This window comes from Homo sapiens, chromosome 15 (genome assembly GCF_000001405.40).
Source record: "Homo sapiens chromosome 15, GRCh38.p14 Primary Assembly".
Lineage (NCBI taxonomy): Eukaryota > Metazoa > Chordata > Mammalia > Primates > Hominidae > Homo > Homo sapiens.
This window is the reverse complement of record NC_000015.10, coordinates 100,236,631-100,263,710: the sequence shown is the minus strand read 5'-3', so window position 1 is coordinate 100,263,710 and position 27,080 is coordinate 100,236,631. Positions and strand designations below refer to the sequence as shown.

The following is a 27,080-nucleotide window of genomic DNA, read 5'->3' as shown; positions in this document are numbered from 1 at the left end:
CACTACCTTTACTATGCTCTCCGCGTACCTCTCGCAATCCTGTTTTCTCTGCGTTATGGCAAAGGAACTCGGCAGAGTCATAATGACCTGGGGCTCGTCAGCTGCAGTGGGCTTTTTCCATCCATGTCAACTTTGACTCCTTCGCCTTATTCCAGGTTTTCCTTCTCTTCCTCTTGAATCACTTTGCTGTGACTGCTTGATGTTGAGGTCCTTACAATTAAGTTCTGCAACAAGACATGCAAAATTGAGAAAGATAGGTCCTTTTCTGTTATTGCAATTTATTTCAGTGACAAACTTTGGTTACAATGGGACTTGAGGGAATAAAGAAGGAATGTGGACCTTTTGGCTGGACAGGGCTGAGTTTGAATCAAGCCATTGTGACTGGCTGTGGGTCTCATGCAGGTGGCTTTACCTCGATGAACTGGTTTCTGTGTTTCCCAGCTGAGAGTAGTGGAGATGCCAGCCTTGGTGGGGTGTGGCAAGGGTTAGCAATGACACAGGCTGGCGTTCAGCAGCAGGCATCTGTCTCCCCCAGCCCCTTCATGAAGGTCGCCTTAAACCCCAAGCATGAAAGCCCAGAATGGAAGTTTTCAACCTTCTGCCCCTTCTTTTTTTCAAAACCACCTTTCGTATGCGTGGTTTTTTTTAACCAACTATTTCCAGCTTAGCTTTATCTATATACATAAGCATACTGTATATGTATGTTTGCACACGTGTGTATGATTCTAGAGGTTTCTCTTATATACATTTTTCTTTTGGCAAATCCATTTTTAAGGACATTTTTGTCTTTCCTGGACAACCTTTTAAATAAAATCTGGGTTATGTTTCTCACGTATGTATTTTTTGTTCCAATAAGACTTGATGTATGGACACTGACATTTGAATTTCACATAATTATTCTTTAGGTTTTTTGTTTTTTTTTTTTTTTAGTACTGGAAGAGTACAACCTATATTTTTAATATTGATTTTTAAATTTGTTATGAATGGAATTTGTATTTTAGAACAATTTTAGATGTACAGAAAAGTTGATCAGTTAGTACAGAGAGCTGCCATACATAGTTTCCCCATCATGAGCCTCTCATATTAGAATGGCATGTTTCTTGTAATTAATGCACCAATACTGATACAGTGTTATAAACTAAAGTCTACGCTTTATTTCTATTTCCTTATTTTTACATAATCTCTTTTCTGTGTCCCAAGTTCCCATCTAGGATACTACTGTATTTTTAAAATTTTTTATCTTTATATCTTTATTTCTTTTTTCTGTCTTGATAGGTATACAATATGTTTCAGCACCAGAGCCTGGGGATTAAAATTAACATTCAAGTGACCAAGCTTGTCCTGCTACGACAACGTCCCGTAAGTCCCCACAGGCACCTTTCAAGCAAGCAGAAAATGTGGCTGGGCTGGAGCTTCTCAACTGCTGTTGAATGCTAAGCGGGGCTCCAGGGAGTTGCCAGTCTCCGTCACTCTCTGTGGCTTTGCCAGCGTGAGAGGAAAGCCGGCATCAGTACCGGAAGCATGGTGTGAGGGGGGGCTGTTGAGAATCTCAGGGAACCCTAAGCAGTGAGCCCACACACATCCACCTCTCCCGGAGGGTCTCGGATGGAGTCTCTAGGATAGTGCAAAGCTTGATGGCAAGGTCTCTGGCATTGTGGCTCCCCTTCTGAAACTACATTAGAGCTTCGACCCCAGTTTGGGTTCATGGCAGCATCATTTTCTGGTCTTTCAATGGAGCGCCTTCCCACATGCTGATGTTACCTGCCGGGTCAAGCCACCACCATGAGACTGAGGGAGCATCGCTTGGTTTGGGATACTGTTCTGTTTGCAGAAAAGAAGATGCTTTTTTAAAAACAGCATAGTCTTCACTTGCACCTATATGTAAGGCCCCTGATGGTCTCTCTGGATCTATGCCACGTACCCACTAGCATCAGGCTTTTCTTCGAGGGCCGTGAGTCATCAAATGATGTCTCAGTGAGTGACTGCCTCCACCTTAACGTCCTTGTCATAGTCTGGAAATAAACTCTGGCCTCCCAGGCGTTTGTTTCTCTAACTGTCCTCTGACTTTTTTTAGGCTAAGTTGTCCATTGGGCACCATGGTGAGCGGTCCCTGGAGAGCTTCTGTCACTGGCAGAACGAGGAGTATGGAGGAGCGCGATACCTCGGCAATAACCAGGTTCCCGGCGGGAAGGACGACCCGCCCCTGGTGGATGCTGCCGTGTTTGTGACCAGGTAAGATGGGATTTGGCCTGTAGCTGACATGTGAGAGGGAAAAGATGTTTCCCTTCAGAGAGGAAATAGGCATGTTGTTAAGAACTCAGGCTTGGAAATCAGACCTTGGGCCACCTGTCTGGGTTTTGGTTTCCTCATTAGTAAGTGGGGGTTAACGGTGGTATCCACCTCTGAGGTAGGTACGATGCCTGGGCATGTAGCTGTGTCCCTCTTTGTCCCTCCTCCATTGTCACATGGCATTTTCCCTGCCTGTGACTCTGTCCAGACTTCCCTCTTCCTATAAATATAACAGTCATGGGATTTGGGCTCACCTTACTCCAGTGTGACCACATCTTACCTTGATTCTACCTGCAGTGACCCTTTTTCCACATAGGGTCACATTCACAGGTACTGAGGGTCAGGACTTGGACATTTCTTTTTTGGGGGATACAACTGTTGTATGTCATTGATGTCGATGTGGCTATATCATTTTTTTCTTATGTTTTCAACCCTCTTTGAGAACACTGATTTTTCTTTGGTTGCTTTACTTTAATAACTTAAACAAAATGTGTTACATGTTCATACCAAAACTCTCCCTTTATAAAATACACAGAAATATTCCTAAATAACTTAATGCATTAGATTAAAAATACCAGCTTTTTATTAGAGTTGCTAAGAATATGTCAACTTTGAATTTTAATGACTTTTTTTAATTTAAAGAAACTACTTCCCAAATTGCGTGCTTGCTTTTCCAACTCTGTGAATTTGGAAGTAAAGTTGTGGAAGGGAGAACTTTATCGTATCTTTAGCTTGGGGACAGTTTGTTTCTCCACAAAAAGGTTTTTTGTTTTGTTTTGTTTTTTGTTTTTTGGTTTTTTTTTTTTTGAGATGGAGTCTCCTCTGTTGCCCAGGCTCAAGTGCAGTATGACGCAATCCTGGCTCACTGCAACCTCTGCGTCCTGGGTTCAAGTGATTCTCCTGCCTCAGCCTCCTGAGTAGCTGGGATTACAGGCGTGTGCCACCACACCTGGCTAATTTTTGTATTTTTAGTAGAGATGGGGTTTCACCACATTGGCCAGGCTGGTCTGGAACCCCTGACCTCAGGTAATCTGCCCGCCTTGGCCTCCCAAAATGCTAGGATTACAGGTGTGAGCCACCACGCCTGGCCATCCACAAAGAGTTAAATCTCACTTAACATTTGGTTTTGAGTCAAGAAAGGCTTTTGGTTGCATTTCTCAGGCCATGTGCTGCAAACTCTGAGCCCCATGACGTCTCAGTCATCTGGGGAAGTTCTGTGACCCCAGCCCCAGACACCGGACAGTGCAGCTTTCGTTCCTTTCAAAAATCCCAGAATAAGCCGGGAGCGATGGCTCATGCCTGTAATCCCAGCACTTTGGGAGGCTGAGGCGGGCGGATCACCTGAGGTCAGGAGTTCGAGACCAGCTTGGCCAACATTATGAAACCCCGTCTCTACTAAAAATAGAAAAATTAGCTGGGCGTGGTGGTGCACACTTGTAATCCCAGCTACTTGGGAGGCTGAGGCAGGAGAATTGCTTGAACCGGGGAGGCAGAGGTTACAGTGAACTGAGATCATGCCATTGCACTCCAGCCTGGGTGACAAGAGTGAAACTCTGTCTCAAAAGAAAAACAAAAACCAAAATCCTAGAATAGACACAATGCCACCACCCATTGCCAAATGGATGCCTGCTCACTCTTGTGGATGGTTCGTCGATTGCCAGCCCTGAGTATGCTTTGTTACACATTTCACAGTGTGCTTTGTAGCGTGCCAATCCCTTAGGAGAACACTTGCTGCTTCTACAGGATATGATTAAATATATAATCCATATATAAGCTCTATCATAGACAATCAGTTATTGAAGAGACATTTTAGAAAAAGTCTGTCTAATAATTCTGATCGTCTATGACATGGCTGATGTAGTAGCAGGCACCAGGGACCAAGGGATGAACATGACCTGGCCCATGCTTTTGACCTGGACTTGCCCACTCCAGTGAGCACTGGGAGCCTTCAGGCACCGCCCTCCCCAAGAGCAGTGGCTGCCCACACTCACTGGCCAGAGGCCGCTGTTGCTCAAGGCACTTTGCAATGGCATTTGGCGACTGTGAGGCTTTCTGTAGAATACCCTGGGTGCCGCAGCATTCAGGTTAAGGGTACCATGATTTGAGAGTGGATTCGATTTAGGGAGCAAGCAAGAGTCCTTGGGAACCGTGTCTGTGCATGATCATAAGTAAATGGAGCTGATTTTCCAAATGGTAATTATATTTGGTCTGAAAGACTTTCCTAGAGAGGAACTCTAAACAACGTCATCTGTGGAATATGCAGCTAAACTCCCAAGGTTTCTACTTTGAGAAGAGTTTTCATAAATACTGTGGAAAATCTATAGTTTCTGGTGTTTTGCTAAGAAATAATTAATGGCTTATGGTAATTTTCCCTACATTGGAAAAAGTTTTCTCTCTTTCCTGCTGTTTCATTGAGTGGAGAAAGCACTTGTAAGTGGTCTGCATTTGGGGATGAATGGCATTTTTTTTCCAGAGGCAATAAATGTCACCAAGATGACTGTTGACAGGACGTCTGTATTAGCCCTTTTACAAGGAGACATCAGCAGTCATGACGCACCCTCAATGCAAAGATGCTATGAGTTAGACTTTCTTTTCATTTTTCACCCTCCTAACTTACCACAAAGGAAATATTTTCTGTAAAAATCTTCTTTTCTATACCTCAAACTTTTTACAATGGCTACTGTAAAACAAAATGATACGGTTTTGCTGTGTCCCCACCCAAATCTCATCTTGAATTCCCACATGTTGTGGGAGGGACCAATAGAATCGTGGGGGCAGGTCTTTCTTGTGCTGTTCTCGGGATCGTGAAGAAGTCTCACAAGATCTGATTATATAAGGGGGTGTTTCCCTGCACAAGCTCTCTTCCCCTGCCTGCTGCCATGTGAGACGTGCCTTTCGCCTTCCACCATGATTGTGAGGCCTCCCCAGCCATGTGGAACTATAAGTGCATTAAACCTCTTTCTTCTGTAAATTTCCCAGTCTTGAGTATGTCTTTATCAGTGGTGTGAAAATGGACTAATACGCAAAACAATGGAAAATAACAAGTGTTGGAAGACTGTGGAGAAATTTGAACTCTTCTGTGCACCATCGATGGGAATGTAAAATGGTACAGCCACAATAGAAAACCAGATGATGGTACCTCAAAAACTCAAAACTAGAGTTACCACGTGATCCCACTTCTGAACCCAGAAGAACTGAAATTCAAGATAATTGAAAGCAGAGACTCTGATATTTGAACACTCATGTTCACAGCAACATTATTCATGACAGCCAAGAGGTGGGAGTGACCTATATGTCCATTGATGGATGAATGGGTAAACAGATATGCTGTATATGTACAAGGGAATATTACTCAGCCTTAAAAAGGAAGGAGATTGTGACACGCGCTACAACATGGATGAACCTCAAGGACAAATACTGCGTGATTCCACTTATGTGAGGTACCTACAGTAGTCAGATTCGTAGAGATAAAGAATGGTGGTTGTCAGAGGCTGGGGAGAAGGGAGAATGGGGAGTTGTTATTTCATGGGTACAGAGTTTCGGTGTGGGGTGATGGAAAGGTTTTGGAGGTGGATAGCGGTGATGGTTGCATGACAGTGAATTTAGTTAACATTACTGAGCTTTACACTCAATGGTTAAGATAGTAAATTTTATGTTCATGTATTAGCACAATAAAAAAATTAGTAGTAAAAATGTTCTGTTTTAACTAAACACATAGGAGAGGGATCCTAATTGCATGGGAGTGGTTCTGGATGAGGATGCTGGGGGCATGGGCAATGTCCTCATCCAGGTACAGAGAAAACAAGGTTTTGTCAGCCACAGGCTGCTGGGCTCTGGATGAAGGATGCATTTGGCGTCTTGCATAGCTATTAGCTGTTGCCAGCCCGGGAGCCTGAGCTTTCTTCTGCATTTTGGGCTGACGCCTTGAAGCTACATGAGCAATCACAGTCCCTCTCACCTGCTGCTGTGGAGCTGCTGGACTGAACAGATCAGTGCACGTCCCGTCTTCTGGGTCCTCGCAGATGTTAAATTGAAGATCTCCTTGAAGGACGGGGGAGGCCGCAGTGGAGTCGGGCAGGAAGCTGAGTTGGCCAGGAAGCCTTGTATAATAACTAGAGGTAGAGAGCTGCAATTCCCTAGGTTGGGATAATAATGGGCTGATGTTTTCACAGGGAGATTGGGTGAGAGGCAGCTTCTGCCCTGGAGAAACTGTCCTTTCCTCCCACCGTAACCCGAGCTGAGGCTGCACGGGCCTGGCTGCGCTCAGGGGCCAGCTTCCAGGTCCTGAGCTAGGACGGGCCAACGTGAGAATTTCCTCCCGTTTAAGGTTCTTTTTTCACCTTCCAGGCTGTGGTCAAGCCGGACAGTGTATTCTCCAAGACGTTCCCTGACAAACAGGTGGCTAGGTGGCTGCCATGGAGGACGTGAGCATGACATGTCTAGCAGGAGCTGCTGAGCCAGAAGCGGTTGAAGCTGGGTTTTCTGCAGCTGTGTCTGGGACTTGGAAGGACCCCTGAGTGGACTGGGCCTGGGGTCACACGGAGCCCACACAGAAGCCAGGGCTTAGGGGGCTTCAGCACCTGGGGGGGCTTCACCTTGGCCTCCACATCTGACCCAGAAAGCTGAGAACGCAGAGAACTCCTCCCTGAAGTCGAGAACTCCTCCTCGAGCCTGGGCCTGTGCTCTGGGTGAGAGTGCCTGGGAGACACCATAGCAGACACAGCTGGCCCGAAGCTGCACCACCAGGATCCCTCTGGCCAGACCTTCCCCTCCAGCATAATACCATCTAACTCCTCGGGGCACCCTTCCCTTTACCTTCTGCCAGGGGACCCTCTTGCCAGGCTTTGCGCGTGGTGAAGCCTCAGCAAGTATCCATGGAACTTGATGTTACGCTCCCAGGCTTCCCACGCTCGTGAGGCCATGGCTGCTGGGTAGCTTGCAGGGCCCCTTGAAAGGGTCTGGAAACGTCAGTCAATTAATAAACGAATGTATTAAGTCCCAACTGTATGCCTGGCTGTGAGTTACGCACAGGATCAGCTGTGTAACTTGTGGTGCCCCATGCAAAATGAAAATATGGACCCCGCGACAGCAGAGTGTTAGCCCAGGGCATGGGTCAGACACCCACAAAGCCAGCCCTGTCATGCAGATCCAAGTCAGCCTCGAGGAACGCACCTTGGGGTTTCAATGGATGTAGGCGCTGGGAGCCAAGTCTAGCCCTCTTTTCATTCCTGAAGTGAACCCTACAGTCCCTGCCTGGGGGTTTGTCATGAGTTGGCAGTGGGATGACCTAAAAAGTGAGTGCCCCTGATAATGAATGGAACAGAGCCAGGTTCCCTGGAGATAAAGCAGCCCCTGCAGGCAGGTGGCTTGCTGCTTCTCTTCTGAGAAAGGACCTTGAACAGGAAGGATCGAGATTCAGATTCGGCTGACCTTTTCAAGACAGGCCTCTAACTGAGTGTGGCTCTCCCTCCCTGAGCTGAACACACCTCTTCCTCCAGTGAAGCAGTGGGTGGTACCTCGGGGTCTGTCATTTGAGACTGACTGTTTCCCCTCAGGGCAGCCATTGGATGGGAGAACGCAGGGAGGTGGAGTCCTCCTCAGCCAACAGGGCTGGCTCTCTGCAAAATGGCGCCTGCCTTGGCCTGCGGCTTCACTTCTCTTCTGTCAGACTGAGGCCTTGGTCCCTTTCTCCCTTTGCCCAGCTTAGATGATGGGGCAAAGCTTTAAATATGTCCTGTTCACAACTCTGAGAAACCCTGGAGCAAGGTCCTGGGCCAGCTGTGTGTGTGTGTGTGTGTGTGTGTTGCTCAAAACACGAGAATTGGGAAGGGTGCTGAATGTTGGGCTGGGGCTAGGTAGGTATGGGGCCAGTGAGCACACCCATGGCTCTAATTTTATTTGCTTTCCCCTCTGCCAGTGCTGCTTCTATCGCCTATTGCTTCATCTTCTAAAAGGGAGTCTGATGGAAAAATCAAGTCTCTAGGCCTTTTCATCTCTTTATGATATTCCTTCTCCATTTCCCTGAAGGTTACCTTGGTTTTGGAGTGAGGTTATGAAAAGTGTGGATCTCAAGCGTTCTTTGGGCCCTGAGAGAAGATGGGTGTGGGGCCTGGGAGGGGCCGTGTCTGGGCCAGGTTGTGGCTCCTCAGCCGGCTGAGTCCTGCCCCAGCCAACCCTCTGTGGTTGATCCCTGACCATGGAAACTTATAAAGAAGCATAGGAATGATCCAGTATTAGAAAAGAAGAGCCTAGACCCCTGGTTTCCCCACAGCAGGCCAGATGAACCCCTTGTACTTGCAGAACCAGGGCTGGACCAGGTTTCAAGCATCTTTGCTGTCTCACTGGTCCACAGATACCACCCACCCAGGGGATCCTGGGGAGCTTTAAGGAAGACAGTTTTTTTTTTTCCTTCACCTTTTAAGTTCTGGGGCACATGTGCAGGATGTGCAGGTTCATTACATAGGTAAACATGTGCCATGGTGGTTTGTAGCACAGATCAACCCGTCACCTAGGTATTAAGCCCAGCATCCGTTAGCTATTCTTCCTCATGCTGTCCCTCTCCTTCACCCCGCCTCCCCCGGCTGGCCCTGGTGTGTGTTGTTCCCCACCATGTGTCCATGTGTTCTCATCATTCAGCTCCCACTTACAAGTGAGGACATGTGGTGTTTGCTTTTCTGTTTCTGCATTAGTTTTCTGAGGATAATAGGCTCCAGCTCCATCCATGTCCCTGCAAAGAACATGATCTCATTCCTTTTTATGGCTGCATAGTAGAGGAATACAGTTTTTAGAAATGACTTTTTGTTGTCTTCTTGTGAAAGCAATACATGGTCATTACAGCATCAAAAACCAGTTGCTGCCCAAATAGAGTAGCTTGGGGAAGTAGAGTAGCTTGGGGAGGCCACTGCAGTTGGATGCTATTGTCTGAGAATTGTCTCGGATCAGTGACTTGGCAAACATCTTCCAAAACATTTTCAGCTGCTGAAAGGAGTCCTTCCAGCAACTGTTACGTATAGAATAGTTCATCTGTAAAAGAAGGTTCTCATGTGGGGTAAGTGGACCTACCCCGGGAAATGTGGATGGATTACTGTTGCCAAACGCTGCTGTTTGTTATCATTCGCTGTGGCCTGTGTCCACTGGAAAAATAACATTGCAGGATGACTACTTGAGGTTAATTCACAGTGTTTTCTTCTCCCATTCTTGGGGATACTGCATATACCTGATGATGGCTTTTTTATTTTTTAGGACAGATTTCTGTGTACACAAGGATGAACCGTGTGACACTGTTGGTAAGTTTAGAGTTGAAATAATAATCTAAGGGGCTGATACACCCTGGGAGAATCTGGAGACTTCCTGGTCACAGTGGAGGAGCTGTCCTCAAACAAGCACTGCACATTCTGTTGCCTTCCTTCCTGTAAGTTGGTCTTTGACTTTCCTTTTTTTATTTTCCTGAAATGATTTGAAGTTATTGATGGCAGAAGGCATCTAGATGAAGGGTCATTAAGGAAGCTATGAAGAGTGACACCAAGGGGAAAAGCCACCAGGCCGTTCCAAGGGGTCTGCAGTTGGGGGTGCATTTGGCTCTGAGCATTTTGGTCACCCAGGCAGGAGAGGCAGCCTGCTAAGTTACACAGTTGTGGTCATGAGATGAAAGCTTAGCAGTTTGTTCTCATGCATGCACATGACCTTTATTGAGCTTTACCCTAAGGGGTGAAGTGTGACTGTAGATTATAAGACATGCAATCTCTTCCACCTGCCTTGGTGCCAGGCTACTTGCTTTTTAGTGACTAAAGACAGCACTGAAAGTGGCATGCAGTGCTGAGAAAACACCCTTTCCTTCTTCACCGTCCCCTCCTCCTCTCCCTTTCCCTCCCTCATCTTCCCTTCCCCTCCCTTATCTTCCCCTCCCCCCTCTACCTTCCCCTCCCCCTCTACGTTCCCCTCCCCCTCTACCTTCCCCTCCCCCTCTACCTTCCCCTCCCCCTCTACCTTCCCCTCCCCCTCTACCTTCCCCTCCCCCTCTACCTTCCCCTCCCCCTCTACCTTCCCCTCCCCCTCTACCTTCCCCTCCCTCACCTTCCCCTTCACCTGCCATTTTCCTTTCTCTCCCGTCCTCAGTTATGTCTGGTTTGCTCTTGAGTTCTCATGGATTTCAAATGGAAACCATTCTTTGCACACAGTGTTTGGTTAATACAGGCACAATGCCAAGGGTGTTTCCAGTTTTCCCTGCCATAACGCGAACCTTTGTTCATCGGGAGGCTGAAATATAGTATTGCATTGCCAGAATCAAAATTGTGAATCGTGTATGTTTAGAATTGTAGTAAAATCGAAGAAAACAGTATAGGTGTGAAAAATATATACTGTTATGAAATTCACATGTTGAAAACCTGAGCTTCTGGGGGAGCCCCAGCAGTGAGTAGCCCTAAGCCTTTGTTCTGGCTCTGCCACGTGCCAGCTGGGTGGCCTTGGATGTGTCTCCACTCTGGTTTCTTAATCCATCAAATGATCACTTTGGGTTAGGTGACTCACAAGACCCTTCAAAATCTAATATAATGATAGCTACCATTCATGTCACATTTTAGAGTTTACAAAATGATTTTTAATATATTACACTTCATCGGTCCTCTAACCAGATCTGAGAGCGAGATGTCAAGAAGCAACCAGCCAACTCCTCCTGCTTTGTTATTTGGGGGCTGTCTCCATGAGGGAATTGCTAGACAAAGGCCGTGTGAAGGATGCTTCCCTGGAGTGCTGGCTGACCCAGGCCCAGGTCAGGTTGGGGCCATGGATACTTGTACCGGCTGACCTCTGTCTGTCAACAGGGCTGCCAGGCATGTGCTGTTTCTAGGAGTGGCTGCTCTTTCCTGGGGTTCACGGGTCAGGCTTGGCCACAGTACCCATGTCCGGGGCGCCTCTGCTCCGTGCTCCTCCTGCTTCCTGGCTTGCCCCGTGGAGACATAATCTCTCAATCGTGTGGCGCTTGCCTGTACTTCTCCCCTGGCAGCCCCTGAGCAAAACAGAGCCCAGCTCTGGCCTCCAGGCTGTGTGTCCTTCAGCACCTGGCACTGGATTGAGAGGTTTGGTCACTCCTGTTGGTTGGTTGATTAAATGAAGAACTGAATGAATGAATGAATGAATGAATGCAGGTGAAGGGACTCCAATGCCAGTGTTCATTAAAACAATGTATCCAGTGGTGTGGTTTTCTTCCATAGGATTTATGGCTAGCTTTCCGTTTCTTTTGAATATATAAAAGCTTTCTCTTTTGATGGGAATATGCCATTAATTGTGATTATATCCTGTGTTCAGGCCCCTGGTGAAGAGCAGGCAGCTACTTCGAATCAAGCATCATCTCATTTCCTAAGCCACATCATCATACTACTTTTTATTGGTTTGCTCGGGCGCCATAACAAAATGCCACACAAACTGAGTGGCTTTAACAACAGAAATGTGTTGTCTCACAGATCCGGAGGCTGGAAGTCCTAGATCCAGGTGTCGGCAGACTTTGCCTCTCCTGAGGGCCTCTCCTCTTGGCCGTAGCTGGCTGCCTTCTCCTGTGTCCTCTTGTGGCCTTTCCTCTGTGTGCGCACCTGCCTGTTCTCTCTCCTCCTTATAAAGGACGCCAGTCATACTGGCCTAGAGCCCCTACTCTGTGACCTCACATAACCTTAATTAGCTTTTTTTGTTGTTGAGGTAGAGTCTCGCTCTGTCGCCCAGGCTGGAGTGCAGTGGCACGATCTGGGCTCACTGCAACCTCTGCCTCCCGGGTTCTGGCTCCCGGGTTCTGCCATTCTCCTGCCTCAGCCTCCTGAGTAGCTGGGACTACAGGTGCCTGCCACCAAGCCTGGCTAATTTTTTGTATTTTTAGTAGAGATGGGTTTTCACCATGTTAGCCAGGATGGTCTCGATCTGCTGATCTCATGATCCATCCGCCTCGGCCTCCCAGAGTGCTGGGATTACAGGCATGAGCCACTGCGCCCGGCCAACCTTAATTAGCTTTTTGAAGGTCCTCTCTCTACCTATAGTCACATTGGGAGTTAGGGTTTCTACATAAGAATTTTGTGGGGACACAAGTCAATCCATAGCACCGCTCATTTGATACTTTGTCACATGTTACTAGGGAGCATCTTATGTCCTCATATCCCCTCCCAGGTGCATGCGTCTCACTTCCTTAACAAGAAAGTCTTTTAATGGTCGGGACTGGGTGGAGTCACTGTTCTTCACGTGACAGCTGGTTAGCTGAGGGCAGAACCAGCCTATCTCCTGATCCCCAGTACGTGTTCTTTCTAATACCTCAGTGATTTTCAGCTTCTCCAAGGGAGCTGATGCCTTTTTTTCTTTTTTAAAAAAATTAAACGTATATGGTGTTTTATTAGTATATGTTTCTCTTAACGTGTCATATTTTGCTTGTACAAATGATTAAGCCAGTCAGAACAATGGGATGATTCGATGAACAGAAAAATATAAAAACTGGGGTTATGGCAGTCGTATATTGATCTCAGCATCCAATTTATTTATGGACTTTAAAATATTTTTATTTTGAGTAATTATACAGTCATGATCATTGCCAAAAGAGTACAGAGAGGTCTGTTGTACCTATCACCCAGCTTTGTCCAGTGGTAACATCTGACATAACTGCAGTACCCTCTCAGAACCAGGAAATGGACGGACCCGATAGAGTGAACTAGACTACAGCTCTTAATCAGGCTTCACTGGTTTCTGCATGCACTCATTTGTTGGTATGCTTTTGTATAAAGTTCTGTGACATCTTATTACATGGGCAGCTTTGTCCATCCACCATGACAATCAGGAACAGAAGTCCACGGCGGCTGAGATGCCCCCTCGGACTGCCTCTTGAGAGCCACTCCCTGCCACCCTCCCCTTCCCTAACCACTGGCACCCATTTATCTGTATTCCATCTTTATGATTTTCTCATCCCAATATCAGTTTATTTTTCAAATTTTGTTTTGATTGCGCAGAATGGAAAAATAATCTGAGTCATGTAGATGCATGCTTGCCAATGCTAAGAGATTTTGAACAGCTGCCTTGAAACCTCAGGATCCAGCTCGAGCGTGAGATGCTGTGTCTTGAGTTCTGTAGGAAAGGAGCTGTCTGGTACCTCGAGATAACTAGGAAAGCTTTGGGTTGCCAGTGTTGTGTAATTTGGTATATAACAGCGTTTTTTTGTTGTTGTTTTAATTAGGGTGCAGCTCACATATATGTAAAGAGGGCAAAACTTGATGGATTTTTAATTTATGCTTATACTCATCTTTTTTGGCTCAATCTGGTATTTATTGAAATCATTTTAAAGCAATATCTTGAGTTCTGTTTTAAATCGTGCTTTTTTATACTGTGGTAAAATACACATAACATTTGCCACCAGAAGCATTTTTAAGTGTGCAATTCAGTGGCATCCAGTACTTCCACACAGCTGTGCAGTCCCATCCCTCTACTCTTGAAACCATAACTCAGATTGAGGTGAAGAAGGCGATCAGCCCTCCAGTTCCTTATGGCCTAACCCCCACCCTCAGTAGTCCCCCCAGGGTAACCTGTTATTGTTAAGTGTTTTAATGAGTGTTTTTAAAATAGTTTAAAATAGATTTCAGATCTCAGTTTGAATGAAGCATTGGAATAAACTCTGAGGCGCTGCGAGGTTTGGGGCTTCCGTAAAAATACTCTCCTCTGCATCAGCCCATTTGTCTCCACTGCCCAGTCTGCATTTCTGATTGTGAGGAATGAGCCAAGGGCACCTACTGGAAGGGGGCTGCCGCCAGGCTGGGAGACTGGCTTGGAACACAGGCAGCACCTGGGGGAGCTCTGGAAGTGGGGAGGCCACTGACATCACATAGAAGTTAGTGGCAAGGCCTGTCTGGTCCATGTGCCACCACGGCTGGGGAGTGACCTCCATCTCCCCCCAACAGCCCAGGGTCCTGTGGTCTGCCCCTCCCCACCCCACCTGCACTGGAGTGAGGGAGATTCTGGCCTTTGGGCTTCCATAGGAGAGGCAACAGCACCTCCCACGAAGAATGCATGTTGAGGGTAAAGCTTCCCAAAGGGGATCACTGTGCTTCAGCCAGGCGGGAGGATGAATGCCAGACAGCCCAAGATGACCAATGCCCACTGCACCCTTCAGATCTTTCGGGTGAAGATTGAAACACAAGGCTTGCATCTCTAGGCTTCACAGGGGTGCTAGTGGTGTAGGCAAAGTTGGCGTTTCCAAGGCCCTGATTCTCCTGAGCCCTGCAGTGCAGAGGCCTCACCACACTCCTCTGTACTGGGTGGATTTGAGTGAGCAGATGAATGGGCATGCTTTCAAAAAGTCACACCAGGTCCAGGCGTGGTGGCTGACGCCTGTAATCCCATCACTTTGGGAGGCCGAGGTGGGCGGATCACGTGAGGTCAAGAATTTGAGACCAGCCTGATCAACATGGTGAAACTCTGTCTCTACTAAAAATACAAAAATTAGCCAGGCGTGGTGGCGGGCACCTGTAATGCCAGCTACTCAGGAGGCTGCGACAGGACAATCATTAGAACCTGGGAAGTGGAGGTTGCAGTGAGCCGAGATCGCACCACTGCACTCCAGCCTGGGCAACAGAGTGAGACTGTCTCAAAAAAAAAAAAAAAATTAACACCAGAAGGACCCTTCCTCCTTCCCTCCTGGCACCGATATGGACTTCTTAGGCTTCGCTGGAATGGGAAGGATAGCAAGGATGACCCCCTTGGGAATTCTGATCTCCACGTTGGAGGAAGTCACTGTAAGGCAGGAGGATCTGGAACAAGCCACCATCCCCTCACTGAGTGGCCCCCACTCTGCACATGTCAGACCTCTTTGTGGGGTGTGCACATTTCCTCTGTTGAATTCTTCATCCAGAGCTGTCTGCTTTCCAGCCACTGTTGTGACATAGGTGCTGTCCTGGGTGAGAAGAGGGAGGTGACAAGATGGGGACTTGGCAGAGGTGAGGTCGTGCCTGCCCTTTGCGTTCCTCTTCCAGATGCATACCCTCTGGGCCTCTCTCTGGCAGTGGCTGAAGACAGCAGCCGCTTCTCTCCAAGCCTGGCTGGCTAGGCAGGTGTCTGAGTGTTGCTCAGTGGATGTGGAGCATTGGTTTTCTCCTACCCGTGCCTCCAAATTGAGCTACGGTGGTTTTTGTGCCAGCCTAAATCAAGCTAGTCTTCTTTTTGCCCTTTGCTTGGTCTCCTACTATTTTTTAATTAATGGAAGGGCCTCCCTTTTCGTTGTCCAGTGAGGGAGAGGGGTGATCCTACAGGAGGAAGTGGAGATGTTCCACCGTTGCAGGCTGAAGGCCGGGTTGATGCTGTGGAGGAGCTTGGAGTCTGGTCTGTGCGCTGGGGCCCAGCGGCTGTGGCTTGAGGGTCCCATGGCTTTCCCTGAACTTGGGGAGAAGGACCCCCTCCTTGCGTCACCCCTGGCACTGATACCACAGTCTCTGATAGGTTTGGGTGGCCTGAGGGGAGCTTGGTAGACGTGCCCACTGCCCTTCCGGTGTGAGGAAGAGCGTGTGGGTGGAGGAAGTGCGGGTGGGGGATATTGCTGGCCAGGACGGTGGTGTTTGGGAACAAAGCATCGGTTTTGGAAATCTGTGTCAGGCCAGCCCACCATGAGGCCATGAAACCAAGAGGAGCTGGGGAACTGGCAAGAGGTGAGGGGGAGTGGGTGTGGGTAATGGACGGTGTTGTGTGCTGGACCTGTTGAGTTTTTATTAATTGAATGTGTCAAAGAGGAAGAGAAGCTGTGAACCCTGTGATGTCATCAGTTAGGTAAGAAAGAAATGCCACTTTTTATGCATAAACACAAACATATGAAAACGGGCCCGTCTGACTGTGCTTCGTCCCTTCCACATTGGTCACCCTGTGACTCTTCACTTATCCCAGCCCTGGCGTCCTCACTGGTTGGTGTGTAGAGCCCTCTGGGGAATTTCCGTCACAAGTGAGCCAGCGTTTTCTGTGTTACAGTGGTGTTGGTATGTCTTCATTCTGTGAGGGTGGTTTTGGGTTGTCAAAAAGCGGTGTCAAAAGTGTTCTTTGCTGGGTGAGGCTGGCAAGTCGTGTTTGAGATACAAAGATACAAATCAAGTTTTACTGGCTAGACCAGCTCTTGGGTTTCTTTGCTTCTTGGGGCTCTCCTATCTGTTTGTTCCACTGTATTGTTATTCCTTGTAAGCTGACAGAAGGCAAATTTCAACTGTGCTTCCAGACTGTGTGTTAGAAGTATAGTCTTCAGGCCAGGTGTGGTGGTTCATGCCAGTAATCTCAGCACTTTGGGAGGCCGAGGTGGGTGGATCACTTGAGGTCAGGAGTTCGAGACTAGCCCGGCCAACATGGCAAAACCCTGTCCCTACAAAAAAAATACAAAAAATTATCCGGGTGTGGTGGTGGGTGTCTGTAATCCCAGCTACTCGGAAGGCTGAGGCAGGAGAATCGCTTGAACCTGGGAGATGGAGGTTGCAGTGAGCCGAGATTGTGCCATTGCACTCCAGCCTGGGCGACAGAGAGAGACATTGTCTCAAAAAATAAATAAATAAATAAATAAATAAATAAAAATAAAAGGGCAAACCACTTGAACAGATACTTTACATATACATGGATGGCAAATAAACTTATGAAAAAATAATATCACTAGCCTGTAGCAAAATGCAAAATTAAAGCTATGATGAAATATGGCTATGGAATGGATAAAATACAATAAAAAAAAAGTGTAGTCTCCAGACATTGCCTACGAGGGCAAATGACTCCTTCAAATGAGTAAGTTCTGAAGTGGCTTTGTCCTTACCTAGGACCCATCTCACTTTTGGGCCCTGTTCTGGGCTTATCCACACTATGTCGTTGGTGTCTACTCTGAGAAGGTTACAAAGGGGAAGGCTTAATTACATATTCGTTGTTCCAAATTAGACAACTTGCAGTCTTTAGCAAATTCATCTGTTTGTCGGAGGCTACCTTGGTATTTATAATTATGCTTTTGACCATGTTCTTTGCTTTTTGAGAGGTTTTATGAAAGGTTTCAATTTTGGGAATCAAGTATGCTTACATCTAGCCATCAAGAGTGAAGAAATTTTTGGCAAGGTTCATTTTCATCATAGTATTAAAAAATAGACCATCTGCTTAAAAGACTTAGGAAAGTCGCATGCTATTCATTTTAGGGCTTCGTATCCCACAAATTCAGCTTGGATTTCTCGGCTGATTGAGTTGCCTGGAAAACAAAAAAGTGGAGGCTTTAGGAAACTAGTTCCCTTTCTCACAGGTTTAGCTTTAAGCATCCGTAGAGTATTTCCTCCGGAATGCCAATTAGGTTGTGTCTGATCGTTGGAGAGCGTCTGCGAAAGACTGTGTGTAGGAGCTGTTATGCCTAAGAGAACAGAAGAGGACGAGGACTGGCGATCCCGAGAACATTCCTGCCTTGACCTCTGTGTGCTTGCTCTGTGCACCACTTAGAGATAGTGACTGGGGTGAATAAACATGTAAGTGATGCATGTGTCTTACCTACACACAAATACCAGACACATATGTACACACGTACACACACACCTTTACGCTCATGCATGCCTGGGGTGCATGCACACCCATGGAAGTGTGCAGTGTGTGTGCTTCCCATACCTTAAGGCCTGGCGAGGCTCCATCTATGCCTACAAAATCTGTAAGTTCTCTACCAGCGCTTGTTAGATCCTTCCAAGAAGATCTGTCTGCCCTGGGAACAACAAAATAAGATCCCACTGCAGGAGGTTTGTGTTTGAGACTTGGCTGGAAGTCCACACTGAAACCAGTTGCCCCAGGGGACCAAGTTCAACTTTTCTTGTTCTTCCTGCCAGGGTTGTGTCTAAGGTTACATAATGGCTGAAATACATTAGAAAATGGTGAAAATATGTAGGTATGTTTTTGCATGGGATGGGCTTCTACCAGCCCTTTGGAGATGTAGAACCAACATTTACTTTGGAACTAGACAGAGACCAACAAAACACAGGGCTGTGCATGAATGCCTTTTGGGCTGGAAAGCAAGAGGGCTGAGCAAGCAAAGCAGCTCCCCTTGCAGGGTTTCCAGCCGTGACCTTTCAAATGCAGGCCCAGAGCCCCCTTCATTGTTCTGACTGGGAAAGTAAGTGTCCTGTAAGAGTGTCCTTCCTTGAGGTGGCTGGTGAGTATTTTCCCAGGCCCCTGCCTGCGAGGGGATTCTGAAACAGACCTCCCTTCCAGGTTGGCAGCTGCAAACCTGCACAAGATATTGGTGACACTGGTGTCAGTCCAAAGCCCACTGCCCTGTCATTCTTCCACAGCTTCAGTGTGACAAGAGTAGAAGGAGTGTCTCTTGTTCTCTCGGTGTTTCTGTTCCTCATGGCCAAGGAACGCCTCATGGCAAGCTTGGAATGCAGTTGCATGCTCCATTGCCTTACAGTGCGGCTCTTACTCTAGTCATGCAATTCGGAGTCAGCCTGACCCTTTATTGGGTTTGTTAGAAACAAACCAACAAAGCCCTCCCCGAAAACACGAGGGGGAGTAGAATCATAAATGGAAACTAGGCCTTGAAGTGATGCTTCCTCTGTCACTGTGAGTCCTGAGGAGCTCTTAGACCCTGTGTGCTGCCTGTTCATAAACAGCCTGCACTCGGCGGTGCAGGAGAGGCAAGGAGAGCAGGTACCATCTGTAGCCAGTGCCATTGAAACAAGGGTCCTGCTCCGGTTGGAACAAGCCGAGGAAATCGCAGGCTGAGAGCCAGGGAAGGGCTCCCTGTACAGTGGCCCTCAAGGTCCTGTTTACCACCTGCAGGGGCCCTTCCTCTCCATGATGAAGGCTGAGCCCATCACCAGGTGCCACCCATGAGAAGCGGGGACAGGCATGACTCTTCTTTATGAAACCATCCGATCTCATGAGACTTATTCGCTATCACCAGAACAGCACAGGAAAGAACTGCCCCCATAATTCATTTACCTCCCACCAGGTCCCTCCCATGACACGTGATAATTATTGGAGCTAGATGAGATTTGGGTGGGGACACAGCCAAACTGTATCAGTAAGTCACTCAAGGACAGTGGTGGACAAGATTGGCTCTGCAGTTAAACCTGCATTCGAATCTTGCTTGTCCACCACTGTCGTTGAGTGACTTACTGATACGGTTTGGCTGTGTCCCCACCCAAATCTCATCTAGCTCCAATAATTCCCACGTGTCATGGGAGGGACCTGGTGGGAGGTAATTGAATTATGGGGGCAGGTCTTTCCTGTGCTGTTCTGGTGATAGGGAATAAGTCTCATGAGATCTGATAGTTTCATAAAGAGGAGTTCCCCTGCAGAAGCTCTCTCTGGCCTGCCACCATGTAAGATGTGACTTTTCTCCCCTTTGCCTTCCGCCATGACTGTGAGGCCTCCTCAGCCATGTGGAACTGTGAGTCCATTAAACCTCTTTTCCTTTATACCCAGACTCTGGTATGTCTTTATTAGCAGTGTGAGAATAGACTGATACACTTACCTAATATCCCCTGCTCTGTTTTCTCATCTGGAAAATGGGGATAATAGTATCTAGGGTTGTTGTGAGGGTTAAAGCGGATGACTAATCACACTCATTAGGATGACCACTTTCATTTTGTTTTGTTTCATTTCATTTCTTTTTCTTTTCTTTCTTTTTTTTTTTTTTAAGATGGAGTCTTGCTCTGTCACCCAGGCTGGAGTGCAGTGGCAGGATCTCCGCTCACTACAACCTCTGCCTCCCGGGTTCCAGCAGTTCTCCTGCCTCAGCCTCCCACGTAGCTGGGATTACAGGCATGCGCCATTACGCCTGGCTAATTTTTGTATTTTTAGTAGAGATAGTGTTTGACCGTGTTGGCCACACTGGTCTGGAACTCCTGACCTCAGGTGATCCACCCTCCTTGGCCTCCCAAAGTATTAGGATTACTGGCGTGAGCCATGGCACCCAGCCAGAATGACCACTTTCAAAACCAGAAATAACAAATGTTGGCGAGGATGTAGAGAGATGGGAACCCTTGTGCACTGCTGGTGAGAATGCAAAATGGTGCATCTGCTATGGAAAACAGTATGGTAGTTTCTCAAAAAATTAAAAAATATGATTCAGGAACTCTACTTCTTGATACACTCCCAAAAGAATTGAAAGCAGGGACTCAGATATTTGTACATCCATCTTCATAGCAGCACTATTTACAATAGCCAGGATATGGAAACATCCCAGGTGTTGATAGAGGGGTGAGTGGATAAACAAAAATGTGGTCTATCCACACAGTGGAGTATTACTCAGCCTTCAAAAGGAAGGAGATAGTGACACATGCTATAATATGGATGAACCTTGAGGACATTATGCCGAATGAAATAAGCCAGTCACAAAAGGATGAATAGTGAATGAAGCCACTCACTTGAGGCACCTAAAGTGGTCAGATTCATGGAGACAGAAAGCAGGATGGCAGTTGCCAGGAGCTGAGGAACGCGGTCATGGGGAATTTGTGTTTAATGGGCAGAGTTTTTTAGTTGAGGAAGATGAAAAGTTCTGTAGGTGGACGGTGGTGATGGTTGTACAACAGTGTGAAGGTACTTAATGCCACGGAACCGTACACTTAAAATAGGTAAAATGGTACATTTTATGTTATGTATACTTTACATAATTTTTTTAAAGAAGTAAGATGACAGAGGGAGCAGTGTTGTGAATTTTATTTTCTAGCACTTCTTTGAGATTTTGTCCAAGAAAAATGATCAGGATGGGAGAAGGACAATGCCCAGCAAAGGAGCTCCTCCTGCCTTCTCCCCTGGGAGGTGAGGGAGGAGTGATGAGACACAAATAGTGCAGGGTTTGAGGGTGGTGTGTGCAGGACGGGGAGGAGAGGTACCGCCTAGGATGGGAGAGGCTGCAGTGTGTGGGAGAGGATGGAGAGAGGAGGGGGCATGTTAAGAAGTGTCACCAGGGAGTGAATTAGAGCCCTTTGAAATGTTCTTAAGGACATGCCAGTAGAGATTAGGGTGCCTTTGCAAGTTTCTTTTTTGGTTGCTAGGCTATGCATCTTTGGCTTAAACTCCAGGGCCAGATTGGACCATGTGGGCACTGAGACTTACTCAAGTTACCACTGATGTTTTTGGACAACGGACAGTCCTCATTTGCATCTGGCATTAAAATCACCGCTTTAGAGTTGAGCCAAGAGTTCGTTTTCCCAGTGACTGCTCGGCCGCTGGACTCACGGTGTAAAGAGCAAGGTCAGTCATGCCGAAGCCATTGCAGCACTTGGAATTAACCACAAGGGCAGGATGCGAGTGACCCTCCGGAGTCAGAACTGCAATTTGAGGGAGAATGTTTGTTTGTAGCTTGCGTGTTTCAGGCAGTCCCCCAGGCTCCTGTGCTCTTTGTGAGTTCGTTAATTTGAAGAACCTTAAACCCTCCCTTGTGAAATCTCAGGTTGGCTCTGAGTTTTTAACCTCAATTTCTACAGATATGCAGCGTAAGTGCTTCAGGAACGGGAAGGAAGGTTATGTCAGGGCGATCTTTTGGGCTGCTCTACCAGAGACCGAATCTGGGCCTGGCTACTATTTAGGACTTCAGTTTAAGCAACCTTCGGAGTTACTAGCATAGACGACTTGGATTAGAAATTCCTGACAAGTGCTGTTGTGCTGAGAGGGAGCTTGATTGACATATAGAAAAGGGCTGAGTCATGGTTAGACAAGAACTGAATCATGGTTAGGAAAGGCTGAGTCATGGTTAGGTGAGCTGAGTCAAGGTTAGGAAAGGGCTGAGGGCCAAGTGACTGCCCTCTGCCTGGTGGAATGGGGTGGAAGTGATACGAGCTATTTCTAGGCCTGGCCCAGCATCCATGAATGGCACCTAGGGGCTCTTTCTCCGTTGGCCGACTGGCTGAGGTTGTCCACAGAACTGGCAGCCATGGCCCCTGAAACATTGGATGTTACATGAGTGAGAAGTAAAGTGTGTTGAGACACTGAGATTTGAGGCTTTGTTTGCTAAAGAAATTACCGCAACAATCAGAAGTGCTAGTGTGTGTTTCTACAAGATCCTGCCCTTGAAATACTTCGAGGTCTCAAAGCGTTGAAGACTTCCATCCCTGTGGGGACTAAGAGGACAGTGGCCCTATCTCTACGTTCAGGCTTACAGAACAACTTTGGCAGGTGACCTGCCAGGGTGTGGTGGAATGAGGGGTAGAGCCAGAATCTTGAGTGATTTTTACTGAAGAATTAAAAAGTAGTCTTGGAGTTGTAGGGGAAGAAAATTTAACTTTTTACTCCACCCATATTAGATTCATTGGCCAGGACCCTGAAAATAAGACTGACAGCAACACCAAAAAAAGCCAGATAGGCCAGGTGTAGGGGCTCACTTCTGTAATCCCAGCACTTTGGGAGACCAATGTGGATGGATCACAAGGTCAGGAGTTCGAGACCAGCCTGACCAACATGGTGAAACACCATCTCTACTAAAAATACAAAAAATAGGTGGGCTTGGTGGCGGGCACCTGTAATCCCAGCTACTCAGGAGGTTGAGGCAGGAGAATCGCTTGAACCCGGGAGGCGGAGGTTGCAGTGAGCTGAGATCCTGTCACTGCACTCCAGCTTGGGCAACAGAGCGAGACTCTGTCTCAAAAAAGAAAAGCCAGATTAACAAGAGAAAAACAAACAGAAGTTGAGTATAAGCTGGGAGCTCTCAGCAATGAGGAACACAGAGGGGTGATTAGAACTTGGCCTTATACCGCGTCTTGACAAAGAATAATACATTCTTAGAAGTGACAAGATGAAAGAAAAGGACTGAGTTCTGGGTGGCAGATTGTGGGAAGGTCAGCTGTGGGGGAACTGCTGGAAGATGAAGGCTCATTACTTGAGTTTGTCATGTAGATTCCTCGGGTGCCCTCTGGACTGATGAGGGTCTGGGGTTCTCTCCAGTGATTAACTTCTGTTCTTCCTGGTAGAGGAGTGAGGGGGGAGCACCTTTACAAATTCATGTCTTGCTCTTTGGCAGAGAGTGGGAGGACAAAGCTTTCTTGTACCTGCTTCTTCTCCATTGCTTTCAGCTCAAAATAATCCTTCGGCCACAGTGGCATATGTTGCTACCCTCCAGCCTTTGCTATGGTCTTGGAACACATTCCTGACGTTGCTGAAGGCATCTGGGGCTGAGGAGGAAGAAGCAGCAGAGAGATTGCTGCTCCTTGAGAACAGGAGTCACTTAGGCCTGGGGATTGGAAAGGTGCCTGCAGCTCTGGTCTCTGGTGGCAGTCTGGGTGCTGACCAGCAGCTTCCCAGTCTCCATTAAGGGCCCAGAGCTAGCCTTAGGCTTGAGGTGGGGCCCAGGGCCCCTCCTGAGCAGCAGCTGGTTACAGGAATGAGTACAGTGATGATTGGATCCCCCCATGCTGATCCCGGTACACGTGGAGCAGGCTCACTGATCTGCCGCACAGCCTGGATTGTTGGGGTTGGGCACATTCTGGCTTTGCTGTGACTGGGGGAGAGACAGACATCTGGTAGCAGGACATCAGGTAAAGGTTTTCACCTGGAGACCACCTCCTCCTTCACTGGCTGAGGGTGGAGGGTGATCCTGAAGGTGGGGCGTGGCGCACATCTTTCCCCAGAGGGCTCACCATCCCTCCACTCCAGGGGTTGTAAGGCCCTGATGGAATTCCCACCTGACTTCTTCGTCAAATCAACTGCATAGGAGTGGCATGTGTCCATGTCCACCTTCCTCCTGGCCACACCATGTCCCTTCTCTCTGAAGTGCCCTGGACTGTGCTCCAGTAGCACCAGGCAGCTAGGGGAGCCTGGTGGCTCATTAGACGTCAAAGCATGGCAGGAGGCAGCCTCTGTGGCTCCAGAGCCCGTCTCCAACACTTCCTCCTGCAACGCTGGAGAGAGACCCCCTTCTCATTGCTTCCACAAAGGGTAGCCTCTTCTTGCTGCTGCCCCGCTCAGGGGCATCCACACAGTCCAGCATCTCACAGGCCTGGGAGCGGTGCCGAGATCTGCACCTTCTTTTCCCTTAGCCTTGGAGAGCTGAAGAGCGTTGCTTTCAGCAGGGTCGACTGCGGTATCCCTGCACCAGTCATTATTGACAGGTAGGAAAGACCACAACCAGCGCCGCTCCTCATCCCGTGCTTGCAGGAGTGATGAAAGTGAGACTGAGAACAGCTACCATCTGCTGAGAACGTCATGGTCTTGGGTCATTTAATCTGCACAACAGTGTGCGGGAGCTGCTGCTGTTCTCTCCATTCTGCATGTGGGAAAACCGAGGTGCAGAGAGGGAGATGTCTTGCCCGAAGGCACACAGCTTGTAAGCAGCCAAGCTAGGCTCTGACCCCAGGCGGTTGGGTTACAGTCTTTCCTTTCTCACATTTCGTTTTCTTTTTTGAGACGGAGTCTCGCTCTGTTGCCCAGGCTGGAGTGCAGTGGCGTGATCTCGGCTCACTGCAAGCTCCATCTCCTGGTTCAAGTGATTCTCCCATCTCAGTCTCCCGAGTACCTGGGGTTACAGGCACACGCCACTACGCCTGGCTAACTTTTGTATTTTTAGTAGAAACAGGGTTTCACCTGTTTCAGGTTGGCCAGGCTGGTCTTGAACTCCTGACCTCAAGTATTCTGCCCTCCTGGGCCTCCCAAAGTGCTGGAATTACAGGTGTGAGCCACCACGCCCTGCCTTTCTCGCTTTTCGATAGCATTTTAAGTGAGGCGTCATTATTCCTGTGAGCAGATGGGGAAACTGAGGCTCTAAAAGAATACATTTCTTGTCTGAAATTATGCCACTCGCGAGTGACAGAGCTGGGATCAAACTATCTCACAGCAAAGCCTGAGGGCTTAACTCTGGTCTTGTCTGCCAGACCTGTGCCCATTCATTTTGTTCTTGGCAGGTATTAAATTCCCATCGTTGCTTTTACCCTGTGTTTTCTCCTTTGCTGTGTCCATCACAGATTCTGTGTTCAGGACGGATCTTTGTCCTCACCGACATTCTGCTTTTCCGTCATTCATACTCAGTAAAACTCTATTGAGTGCCTACTGTGTGCCAGGCCCGGCTCCAGCCCTGGGGACACTCAAGGCACCAAACAAAGGCCGTTGCTCTTGTGGGGTGATGTTTTACTGGAGGGGATGCAACTCATGTGAAGTCAGTAAGTACACTCTAGAGTGTGGATGGAGGCTGGCGATAAAGGGAACATGGAAAGCAGATAAGAAGGGTGGGAAGTGGAGGGGCTGGGACCTGAAATTTTACCTGGAGTGGCCAAAGGCTTTGCTGAGAAGGTGACATTTGGACATTACACTCATGTGCAACCCGTTTGCAGGCCAGGGCCATTAGAAGTGTTGAGGTTGCCTATGCCAACACTATTAATTTCTGTGAGCAAAGGCAGGGTCCCCACCATGGACAGCAGGGTGAGTGGCTGTCCCACAGTGGGAGCAAGCTGGGTACCCTTGGGCCCACTCCGTCTTTGCTTCTTTTTTGCAGGGCTCCTAATCAGACCTGGATTTGAGTCTTTCTTCTGCCATTTCCTTGACCTTGGGCAAGTCACTTAAGAGACTTAGTGTTGGCCGGGCACAGTGGGCTCACACCTGTAATCCCAGCACTTTGGGAGACCGAGGTGGGTGGATCACCTGAGGTCAGGAGTTTGAGACCAGCCTGGCCAACATCGTGAAACCCTGTCTCTACTAAAAATATAAAAATTGGCCAGGCGTGGTGGCATGTGCCTATAATTCCAGCTACTTGGGAGGCGGAGACAGGAGAATTGCTTGAACCTGGGAGGCGGAGGTTGCACTGAGCTGAGATTGCACCATTGCACTCCAGCCTGGGTGACAGAGCGAGACTCTGTCTCAAAAAAAACAAAAACAAAAAACCTCAGCGTTCCTCCTTTCCCTACTTGTGTATTGAGACAGCAGTGTCTTCCCCACGGGACTGCTGTGAGGCTTGCCCATCGAGTCCCTCCTGCACAATGCCTGCTCTGTGAAGCTTGTCCTTGTGTCTGCTCAGCCTGCCCCAGGACATCATGCCCAGCCACCCTCTTCCTGTCGTCGTGTGGATCTCCTAGGGAGGGTGCCAGGACAGAGCTGCTCAGCCAGGGCAGGGCTGAGGCTTCCCAGGGGTGAGTCCTAATGTAGGTAAAGGCAGGGAAGTGAGACCCCAAAAGCAGTTAAAGCAAAGAGCAGAAGCCCAGGGGCCTGAGGCTTACTGAGGGAGAGCCTCCTGCTTGCCTGGTGCCGTCCTCAGACCTCGGCCCTCACATGGAGTCGCCTCCTGTAGGCGCCAGTTCACAGATGAAGGTGCTGAGGCTGGGCTCCTCACCGGGCTGCATAGTGACACGATGGTGGAGCTGGGAGGAACCTGGCTGGCCCGACACCCCAGTTAGGCTTGTGCTGAAAGGGTAAGATGTTGCAGGGGCAGGGTTGTGGGGGCCTGAGGAATTTGGCTTGCAGCTTCAGATTGGAGTCTGAGGATCGTGGGAGCTACTCCAAGTGAGCTGATCTCATGTTGTGCAGAGATGAGAGGAGAATTGAAGCTGGGAACCATGGGATTCAGCCGTAGAGTTCCCTCCTGTGACAGACCCATTCCTGGCTCTGTTTTGGGGGCAGAGGAGAGGGAGCATGGAACAAGTAGTTGGTATTTCTTTCTTTTTCTTTAGAGTCAGGAGTCTCACTCTGTTGCCCAGACTGGAGTGCAGTGGTGCAGTCATAGCTCACTGCAGCCTCGACCTCCTGGGCTCAAGCAATCCTCCCACTTCAGCCTCCTGAGTAGCTGGGACAAGAGGCACGCACCACTATGCCCAGCTAATGTTTTTATTTTATGTAGAAACAAGGTCTTACAGCGTTTCCCAGGCTGGTCTCAACCT

At 48.2% G+C, this 27,080-nt stretch overlaps 1 protein-coding gene across 14 annotated transcripts in view, besides 1 other annotated feature; it reads left to right on the top strand.

The window, feature by feature from the left end:
• ADAMTS17 (ADAM metallopeptidase with thrombospondin type 1 motif 17) overlaps positions 1-27,080 on the top strand; it is a 370,539-nt gene that overhangs the window by 78,265 nt on the left and 265,194 nt on the right. For 13 of the 14 annotated variants that reach the window (XR_001751118.2, XR_001751120.2, XR_001751119.2 and 10 more), the window contains 3 exons: positions 1,276-1,359; positions 2,075-2,232; positions 9,532-9,575. Coding sequence is in view for 10 of the 14 variants with exons in the window: in NM_139057.4 (NP_620688.2) it covers positions 1,276-1,359; positions 2,075-2,232; positions 9,532-9,575 (286 nt within the window). In the remaining 4 variants the exon portion in view is untranslated. Of the gene's footprint in view, positions 1-1,275; positions 1,360-2,074; positions 2,233-9,531; positions 9,576-27,080 lie in introns of those variants that run through there. The other variant, XM_017021979.2, reaches the window with a different exon arrangement.
• Positions 21,414-22,613: an enhancer, noted in NCBI's record as "MED14-independent group 3 enhancer chr15:100781303-100782502 (GRCh37/hg19 assembly coordinates)". NCBI's record gives its function as "activates an origin of replication core promoter dependent on BRD2, BRD4, P300/CBP and CDK7 cofactors, and independent of MED14, by STARR-seq in HCT116 cells {active_cell/tissue: HCT116}" and the evidence as "EXISTENCE:reporter gene assay evidence [ECO:0000049][PMID:35650434]".